Source organism: Homo sapiens, chromosome 11 (assembly GCF_000001405.40).
Source record: "Homo sapiens chromosome 11, GRCh38.p14 Primary Assembly".
NCBI lineage: Eukaryota > Metazoa > Chordata > Mammalia > Primates > Hominidae > Homo > Homo sapiens.
Genome location: NC_000011.10, coordinates 14431113 through 14442020, shown reverse-complemented (window position 1 = coordinate 14442020; position 10908 = coordinate 14431113). Strand labels below are relative to the sequence as shown.

General features: G+C 41.3%; 1 pseudogene; it reads right to left on the bottom strand.

The window, feature by feature from the left end:
• Positions 1-310: 310 nt before the first annotated feature.
• Positions 311-772, bottom strand: LOC105376670 (60S ribosomal protein L13a-like; annotated as a pseudogene).
• Between the last annotated feature and the right edge of the window lie 10136 nt (positions 773-10908).

Sequence of the window (10908 nt, the reverse complement as noted above, 5' to 3'; positions counted from 1 at the left end):
ACTATCACCTCCTGGCTCCCTAGCTCTCTCACTCTTACTCCCACCATACATTCTCCTTCATATCCTGGACTCCACCAGGTCTTTGGCCTTACCATTTTCTACCAAGTTCATCACTCCTCTTGATATTTCCCTTCCCTATTCTGCCTAGACCTTATAGTGCCACATGAAGACCAACATTATCCTCTTTCTTCCACACCCACCTTGCATCAGTTCAACTATCTGCTTTCTCCACCCCCATAATGAAGCTGTTGAACATAACCCTGCAGACTGACTCTGCAGTAGTGCTGTGGTCTCCTTTTTTTTTTTTTTTTTTTTTTTGGAATTAACAGTCTTTATTGGGCTCAGACCAGGAGTCCGTGGGTCTGGAGGACCTCTGTGTATTTGTCAATTTTCTTCTCCACGTTTTTCTCGGCCAGTTTCCGTAGCCTCGTGAGCTGTTTCTTCTTCCAGTAGTGGGTCTTGGCTTTCTCCTTCCTCTTCTCCTCCAGGGTAGCTGTCACTGCCTGGTACTTCCAGCCAACCTCATGAGCCAGGTGCCCCAGATAGGCAAACTTTTTTGTAGGCTTCAGACACACGACCTTGAGGGCAGCAGGAACCACCATCCACTTTTTCTTTTCTTAGGGTGGTGTGATGCTGTCAAACACCTTGAGGCAGTCCAGGGTGGCATGGCCTCGCTTGGTCTTGTGGGGCAGCATGCCTCGCAGGGTCGGCCAGAAAATGCTGCTGGGGGCCTGGAAGTGGTAAGGGGGCCTCGGGAAGGGTTGGCGTTCATCCACTTGTGGAGGAAAACCAGGTACTTCAACTTATTTCTGTGGAAATTGCCAGAAATGGCCGGGTGTGGTGCTCACGCCTGTAATCCCAGCACTTTAGGAGGCCGAGCCGGGTGGATCACCTGAGGTCAGGAGTTCAAGACCAGCCTAGCCAACGTGATGAAACCCCATCTCTACTAAAAATACAAAAAATTAGCTGGGCGTGGTGGTGGCGCCTGTAATCCCGGCTACTCAGGAGGCTGAGGCAGGAGAATCACTTGAACCCGGGAGATGGAGGTTGCTTTGAGCCAAGATCACATCATTGCACTCCAGCCTGGGCAACAAGAGCGAAGCTCTCTCAAAAAAGAAGAAAAGAAATTGCCAGAAATGTTGATGCCGTCGCAGTGTACAACCACCACCTTCCGGCCCAGCAGTACCTGCTTAGCCACGATGGCTACCAGGAGGCCCAGGAGATGGCCTCGACCTGCACCTCCGCCATCTTCGGCAGCCGCCTGGGAAAAGCGGTCTCCATTCTTGATTGGGCTCTCATAGGTATTGTGACCTTGATTCTCTCTTCACAATAGATATGGGTTAATTAACAAAATTGATTAACCTATTCATTTGACAACTATTTGTCATCTGTTACATGCCAGGCAATGTGCTACATGTTAAACATGTAGCAGTAGACCAAACAGACACAGTGCCTACCTTCATGGAATTATGGTCTAGTGGAGGACAGATCCCTTGTTCACTATATACAAACATATTCAATTGACCCTTGAACAACATGGGGGTTAAGGGGCTGACCCCCTGCACAGTTGAAAATCCATGTATAGCTTTTGACTCCCCAAAAATACAACTACTAATAGCCTACTGTTGATCTTATTGATAACATAAACAGTTGATGAACACATATTTTGTATGTTATACGTATTATATACTATGTTCTTACACTAAAGTCAGCTAGAGAAAAGAAAATGTTATTAAGAAAATCACAGGGAGCTGGGTGCAGTGACTCACACCTGTAATCCCAGCATTTTCGGAGGCCGAGGTGGGCAGATCATTTGAGCTCAGGAGTTTGAGACCATCCTGACCAACATGGTGAAACCCCGTCTTTACTAAAAATACAAAAAAATTAGCCAGGTATGGTGATGCATGCCTGTAGTCCCAGCTACTCAGGAGGCTGAGGCAGGAGGATCGCTTGAACTGGAGAGGCAGAGGTTGCAGTGAGCCAAGATCACACCACTTCACTCCAGGCTGGGCGACAGAGTGAGACTCTGTCTCAAAAAAAAAAGAAAAAGAAAAAGAAAAGGAAAATCACAGGGAAGAGAAGAGAAAATATATTTACTATTTATTAAGCAGAAATGGATCATCATAAAGGTCTTTATCCTCATCATCTTCCTGTTGAATAGCCCAAGCAGCAGGAAGAAGAGGAGGGATTGGTCTTGCTGTCTCAGGGGTGGCAGAGGCAGAAGGAAATTCCTGTAAACATGGACCCATGAAGTTCAATCCCATGTTGTTCAAGGGCCAACTATAATTACAATTGTGAAGAGTGCTACCAAGGAAAAAACTCCAAGTATCATAAGAGCTTACAATAGGAAGACCTAGCCTAGACCAAAGAATCAGGGAAGGCCTCTCTGAGAAAGTGACATTTAATTCGAGACCTAAAGAAAGGGTTAAAATTAGCCAAGTGAAAGGAGTAGGAGTGAAATGGAAGTGCTCTCCTCGTGCAAGGAAGAGTATCTGTGAAGGCCTCAAGGAGGAAAGGAGGAAGGAAATGAAAAGGGTTCCTGTTAGAGTGTATGGAAGGTTGAGGCTAAGACTAAGAAGACAATGTGAACCAAATATTTGGGTCATTTCAAGGATTTTGAGCAAGTGTACAGTTTCACGCAGAGGGTGGCATGATCTGATACGTCCTTTTAAAAAAGGTCAGCCTGTTTGTAGTATGTTGAAAGGGCTTAATGGAGGTAAGTAAATCAGATGGGAAGCTATTGTATTAATAGTTGTCCATCCGAAGGCAGATGGCTTAGTGGAGATAGATTCAAGAAACTTCTCCAAGCTCCTGAACGCCCATAACCTACTTCTGGTCCCTTCTCCACCACACCACCACTACTACCAATTTTGGCAATTGACTTGCTTCCTACTTCTTAGGAAATTTAAAATATCAGGTGTGAACTTCAATTTCCTGCTTCTACACCTACACATTTAGCTAACTATACTTCCTTCACTTCCTTCCTGCCAGTCTCAGAGAAAGAGGGTCAGATCTCCTTTCTAAGGCACATCATTCTTCCTTCCACCTTCTCCAAGACCAATACCATGCCCCTTGATTAACCACTCCTTCTCCTCTAAACACATGCAATTCTCTTCTAATTAGAAGAACAAAAAACAGGCCTGGCATAGTGGCTCACACCTGTATTCCCAACACTTTGGGAGGCCAAGGCAGGCGGATCACCTAAGGTCAGGAGTTTGTGACCAGCCTGACCAATATGGTGAAACTCCGTCTCTACTAAAAATACAAAAATTAGCTGGGTGTGGTGGCACGGGCCTGTAATCCCAGCTACTTGGGAGGCAGAGGCAGGAGAATTGCTTGAACCTGGGAGGTGGAGGTTGCAGTGAGCTGAGATCACGCCACTGCACTCCAGCCTGGGCGACAGAGTGAGACTCTGTCTCAAAAAAAAAAGAAAAACAAAAAATCCACTCACCTCCTGTCACCCTAGCTACTACCTTATCTCTCCTTCCCTTTATAACAAAATTTCTATAGTCCACTCTTCCTATGTCAGAGATAGTGGTGTTTACCAAATATTCTGTTCTGCTCCTCACATTTCCCAGGAACTTAGCAATTAGGCAGGCTGAGGTGATTAGTATCTCACTCTGGACCAAAGTGTAAAATAGCTGGCATGTGACCTCCTAAGATCTCTTCACTTGCTGAGCCAATTGTGGAGAGGATTTTGTCTTCCAGAAGTTGCTCAGCACAGTGAATGAAAATATATTCATATCTCAGCACTTAGTGAAATTCAGAACACTGTTGTATAATTTCAGAACACCAAAGAAAAAGAGAAGATTCTAGCAGGGTGTAGTGGAATCCTGTAATCCTGTAATGCCTGTAATCCTAACACTTTGGGAGGATTACTTTAGCCCAGGAGTTAGAGATCAGTTTGGGCAACCTAGCAAGACCTTATGTCTACAACAAATTAAAAAATTAGCCAGGTGTGGTGGTGCATGCCTGAGTAGTCCAAGCTACTCAGGAGGCTGAGGCAGGAGGATTGCTTAAGCTCACTAGGTCCAGGCTGCAGTGAGCTATGATCCTGCCACTGCACTTCAGCCTGGGTGACAGAGCGAGACCCTGTCTCTAAAATAAAGATAAATAAATAAATAAATAAATAAATAAATAAATAAGAGAAGATTCTGAAAACTTCCAAAAAGAAACAATGGGTTGTATACAATCAGGAATCAAAATGTCTTGAGGATCCTTAACAACATTGGAATCAAGAAGGGAATGGAGCAATGGCTTAAAAATTCTGCAAGCAAATACTTCCTAAGAATTCTATACTTTTCAGACTATAATCAAGTGTGAAGATAGGATGAAGAAATTTTCTCTGACATATACACTTTCCCACCAAAATATAGGAGTAAACAAACAAACAAACAAACAAGATCCAACAAGGAAAGAGATGAAGAGCACCTGAAGAGTGACAATCAGTAGAGATTCTAGGATCACAGCATTGCACCAAGTGTCGAGCATAATCAGGCCAAAGAGTAAGGTGATTCAAGAGAGGTTCACTGAGGAGTATCATCAGGTTAAAACTGATGAAACTACTGGAACAGATATCTCCCAAACAGGGGTGCAAACTGAGAAAGAGAAAGATACAAATTCTAGGCAACAGGGATCCCAACTCAGAAAAAGGCAAAAAAGAATTCTCAGGATGACAGGGAAGAAAAGTGCTGGGAAGACAGCTAAGCAGAAGGGCTAGGGTGCAATCAGATAAGAAAATGAGTCTCCGGGAGTCTCTAGGAGACTCATTTTCAATTTTTCAAGAGAAAAATTGGAACAGACAGATTACCTGATGTAATTGACTACAAGGGAATCTGTAGTGAAAGATTATTGTAAAGTGTCAAAGAAATAACTATAGGTAATAATTACAAAGAAAATTAAGCAGGTGAAAAACCAAGGCAATTATTAGATTTAGGAAAAGCAAAAGTTGGAAAAGAAATATAATTTTGAGCAGGGCATGGTGGCTCACATCTGTAATCCTTGCACTTTGGGAGACCAAGGCAGGAGGGCGGATTGAGGCCAGGAGTTCAAGACCAACCTGGGCAACATAGTGAGACCCTGTGTCTACAAAAAATACAAAAATTAGCCACACATGGTGGCAGGCACCTGTAGTCCCAGCTACTCGGGAGGCTGAGGTGGAAGAATTGCTTGAGCTGGGGGCACGGAGGCTGCAGTGAGCCAAGTTATGCAACTGCACTTCAGCCTGGGTGACAGAGTGAGACCCTGTCTCAAAAAAACAAAATATATATATAATTTTGGTGTGCTTGTAATAACATAACAAGTAAATAGTTGTAAGGCATAATAATGTAAATACTAAATACTGATGTAGCGAAAAAATTGTAGTACAATTCTATTGGGAGTATAGGGGAGAAGAAGCAGATGGGACAGTGGTGTAAGAGAGCTAAATCCTGAATCCACTATACAAGAAGTCATTACATTATGTCTAAAATTGATTAATCAAAAATTAGCATTAGCAGTGTATTATTTAGGAAAAGCAGAGATATATAAATGCCAGAAGAAGCCTCTAAAATGTCACTTCCAAGATTAGGCTATTAAAAAAAAATGTCTAAAATGGTTACTTTGGAGAAAAGGGACTTGGGGAAATGGGGAGGGAGAGGCAGAACAGGGATTATTGGTTTTTGTTACAAGCTTTGTGTTTATGTGACTTTCTTTTTAAAAGCGTTGTGCATTTATTACTTTGAGAAACATTAAATACAAGTGAAAGTGTATAGAAGCATGCACAAGAAACTGCTGACATTAGGTATCCCTAAGGAGTGAAATTGGCAGGGAGAAGGTTTTTATTTACCCCTTTATATCCTCTGTACTGTTTGAATTTTTACAAAAAGCATGCATTACTTTTATAATTGTAATAAAAAACAATAAAACCAATGTGCCACCTCTATTTTCTGCCTTCTTGGGAATTTCATCTCCAGGCTGTTGAGACATCCAAGAAAGTTCTCACCATTACTAGGCTCAAACCCTGTCTGTAGATATGTCTCCTTTAAGCTTGAATGACAGTAGGGCAATAGGGTGGCTCTGTGTGTCCCATGTTGTGGTTTCTTTGCTCAATCAAGAGCCCATCTTAGTTGTTTGGCAAACTCTTATCTTCATGCCATCTGCAAAGGGCAGGAAGCTCTGGTTCGTCTGCTGAGTTAGCCACTGTCCTGCAAACCAAAGAGCTTCTATTGAACCATATGTTGCTGTGCGTTACATTTTTCTTTTGTGGAGTTCTCTCCTCCAACCCTCACTCTATTCCCACTATACAATCTTTTTCATGTTTCTTCTTCTCCAACCTCCCCATCCCTCCTTTCCCCAACCGCCTCCTGGTATAGGCATTTCCTGGAGCATATCATAGCTGTAAATATTTATAGCTGTAAATGTTTAAGTGTGTGTTTGGGCCATACAAGAGAAAACACTCTGAAGTCAATTTCTGTATTCATAGTGTACGGTTAAAAGCTAAAGGCTGCAAGCAAACCTGCCCAACCTTCACCCCAGGCAAAGACATTATCTTTACTGGATGAATCAGGAAACAAATCAGCCCTCTGCCATGGAGAGAGACATTTTCTCCATCTTCCAAGGCTGTTTGCTAAACAAACATCCTTTATTTATTATCTATCTATTTATATATTTATTTTTCAAATTTAATCAACAAATTTTTTACTGTTTCCATTACATGTAAGATTATTTTACACTAGATACCAGGGGTCACAAAGGTTGACTAAATGGTTTCTGACTTTGGGGTGTAATAATTGTTCACCAATAACTCTGTAGTACAAGACATATGAAAAATCCTATATCAGTTGGGAGCAGTGGTGCATACCTGTAATCCCAGCTACTCTGGAGGCTGAGGCAGGAGGATTGTTTTTGTTTTGTTTTGTTTTGTTTTGTTTTTTCTGACTTCTTGAAATTCTTTTTTTTGTTGTTGTTGTATTATACTTTAAGTTCTAGGATACATGTGCACAACATGCAGGTTTGTTACATATGTATACATGTGCCATGTTGGTGTACTGCACCCAAGAACTTGTCATTTACATTAGGTATATCTCCTAATGCTATCCCTTCCCCCCTCCCCCCAACCTCATGGCAGGCCCTGGTGTGTGATGTTCCCCACCCTGTGTCCAAGTGTTCTCATTGTTCAATTCCCACCTATGAGTGAGAACATGTGGTGTTTGATTTTCTGTCCTTGTGATAGTTTGCTCAGAATGATGGTTTCCAGCTTCATCCATGTCCCTACAAAGGACATGAACTCATCCATTTTTGTGGCTGCATAGTATTCCATGGTGTATATGTGCCACATTTTCTTAATCCAGTCTATCATTGATGGCATTTGGGTTGGTTCCAAGTCTTTGCTATTGGGAATAGGGCCGCAATAAACATACGTGTGCATGTGTCTTTATAGCAGCATGATTTATAATCCTTTGGGTATATACCCAGTAATGAGATGGCTGGGTCAAATGGTATTTCTAGTTCTAGATCCTTGAGGAATCACCACACTGACTTCCACAATGGTTGAAATAGTTTACAGTCCGACCAACAGTGTGAAAGTGTTCCTATTTCTCCAAATCCTCTCCAGCACCTGTTGTTTCCTGAATTTTTAATGATCGCCATTCTAACTGGTGTGAGATGGTATCTCATTGTGGTTTTGATTTACATTTCTCTGATGGCCAGTGATGATGAGCATTTTTTCATGTATCTGTTGGCTGCACAAATGTCTTCTTTTGAGAAGTGTCTGTTCATATCCTTTGCCCACTTTTTGATAGGGTTGTTTTATTTTTTCTTGTACATTTGTTTAAGTTCTTTGTAGATGCTGGATATTAGCCCTTTGTCAGATGGGTAGATTGTAAAAATATTCTCTCATTCTATAGGTTGCCTGTTCACTCTGATGGTAGTTTCTTTTGCTGTGTAGAAGCTCTTTAGTTTAATTAGTCCCATTTGTCAATTTTGGCTTTTGTTACCATTGCTTTTGGTGTTTTAGTCATGAAGTCCTTGCCCATGCCTGTGTCCTGAATGGTATTGCCTAGGTTTTCTTGTAGGGTTTTTATGATTTTAGGTCTAACATTTAAGTCTTTAATCCATCTTGAATTAATTTTTGTATAAGGCATAAGGAAGGGATCCAGTTTCAGCTTTCTACATATGGCTAGCCAGTTTTCCCAGCACCATCTATTAAATAGGGAATCCTTTCCCGATTGCTTGTTTTTGTCAGGTTTGTCAAAGATCATATGGTTGTAGATGTGTGGTATTATTTCTGAAGGCTCTGTTCTGTTCCATTGATCTATATCTCTGTTTTGGTACGAGTACCATGCTGTTTTGGTTACTGTAGCCTTGTAGTATAGTTTGAAGTCAGGTAGCGTGATGCCTCCAGCTTTGTTCTTTTGGCTTAGGATTGTGTTGGCAATGTGGGCTCTTTTTTGGTTCCATATGAACTTTAAAGTAGTTTTTTCCAATTCTGTGAAGAAAGTCATTGGTAGCTTGATGGGGATGGCATTGAATCTATAAATTACCTTGGGCAGCATGGCCATTTTCATGATATTGATTCTTCCTATCCATGAGCATGGAATGTTCTTCCATTTGTTTGTGTCCTCTTTTATTTCATTCAGCAGTGGTTTGTAGTTCTCCTTGAAGAGGTCCTTCACATCCCTTGTAAGTTGGATTGCTAGGTATTTTATTCTCTTTGAAGCAATTGTGAATGGGAGTTCACTCATGATTTGGCTCTCTGTCTGTTAATGGTGTATAGGAATGCTTGTGATGTTTGCACATTGATTTTGTATCCTGAGACTTTGCTGAAGTTGCTTATCAGCTTAAGGAGATTTGGGGCTGAGACGATGGGGTTTTCTAGATAGACAATCATGTCATCTGCAAACAGGGACAATTTGACTTCCTCTTTTCTTAGTTGAATGCCCTTTATTTCCTTCTCCTGCCTGATTGCCCTGGCCAGAACTTCCAACACTATGTTGAATAGGAGTGGTGAGAGAGGGCATCCCTGTCTTGTGCCAGTTTTCCAAGGGAATGCATCCAGTTTTTTGCCCATTCAGTATGATATTGGCTGTGGGTTTGTCATAAATAGCTCTTATTATTTTGAGATACGTCCCATCAATACCTAGCTTATTGAGAGTTTTTAGCATGAAGGGCTGTTGAATTTTGTTGAAGGCCTTTTCTGCATCTATTGAGATAATCGTGGTTTTTGTCAGTGGTTCTGCTTATATGATGGATTACGTAGATTGATTTGCATATGTTGAACCACCCTTGCATCCCAGGGATGAAGCCAACTTGATCGTGGTGGATAAGCTTTTTGATGTGCTGCTGGATTCGGTTTGCCAGTATTTTATTGAGGATTTTTGCATCGATGTTCATCAGGGATATTGATCTAAAATTCTCTTTTTTTGTTGTTTCTCTGCCAGACTTTGGTATCAGGATGATGCTGGCCTCATAAAATGAGTTAGGGAGGATTCCCTCTTTTTCTATTGATTGGAATAGTTTCAGAAGGAACGGTACCAGCTCCTCTTTGTACCTGTGGTAGAATTTGGCTATGAATCCGTCTGGTCCTGGACTTTTTTTGGTTGGTAGGCTATTAATTATTGCCTCAATTTCAGAGCCTGTTATTGGTCTATTCAGGGATTCAACTTCTTCCTGTTTTAGTCTTGGGAGGGTGTATGTGTCCAGGAATTTATCCATTTCTTCTAGAATTTCTAGTTTATTTGCATAAAGGTGTTTATAGTATTCTCTGATGGTAGTTTGTATTTCCGTGGGATCGGTGGTGATATCCCCTTTATCATTTTTTATTGCATCTATTCGCGTCTTCTCTCTTTTCTTCTTTGTTAGTCTTGCTAGCGGTCTATCAGTTTTGTTGATCTTTTCAAAACACCAGCTCCTGGATTCATTGATTTTTTGAAAGGTTTTTTATGTCTCTATCTCCTTCAGTTCTGCTCTGATCTTAGTTATTTCTTGCTTTCTGCTAGCTTTTGAATGTGTTTGCTCTTGCTTCTCTAGTTCTTTTAATTGTGATGTTAGGGTGTCAATTTTGGATCTTTCCTTCTTTGTCTTGTGGGCATTTAGTGCTATATATTTCCCTCTACACACTGCTTTAAAGGTGTCCCAGAGATTCTGGTATGTGTGTCTTTGTTCTCATTGGTTTCAAAGAACATCTTTATTTTTGCCTTCGTTGCATTATGTACCCAGTAGTCATTCAGGAGCAGGTTGCTCAGTTTCCATGTAGTTGAGCAGTTTTGAGTGAGTTTCTTAATCCTGAGTTCTAGTTTGATTGCACTGTGGTCTGAGAGACAGTTTGTTATAATTTCTATTCTTTCACATTTGCTGAGAAGTGCTTTACTTCCAACTATGTGGTCAATTTTGGAATAAGTGTGATGTGGTGCTGAGAAGAATGTATATTCTGTGGATTTGGGGTGGAGAGTTCTTTAGATGTCTACTAGGTCCACTTGGTGCAGAGCTGAGTTCAATTCCTGGATATCCTTGTTAACTTTCTATCTTGTTGATCTGTCTAATGTTGACAGTGGAATGTTAAAGTCTCCCATTTTTATGTGTGGGAGTCTAAGTCTCTTTGTAGGTCTCTAAGGACTTGCTTTCTGAATCTGGGTGCTCCTGTATTGGGTGCATATATATTTAGGATAGTTAGCTCTTCTTGTTGAATTGATCCCTTTACCATTATGTAATGGCCTTCTTTGTCTCTTTTGATCTTTGTTGGTTTAAAGTCTGTTTTATCAGAGACTAGGATTGCAACCCCTGCTTTTTTTGTTGCTTTCCATTTGCTTGGTAGATCTTCCTCCATCCCTTTATTTTGAGCCTATGTGTGTCTCTGCATGTGAGATGGGTCTCCTGAATACAGCATACTGCTGGGTCTTGACTCTTTATCCAATTTGCCAGTCTGTATCT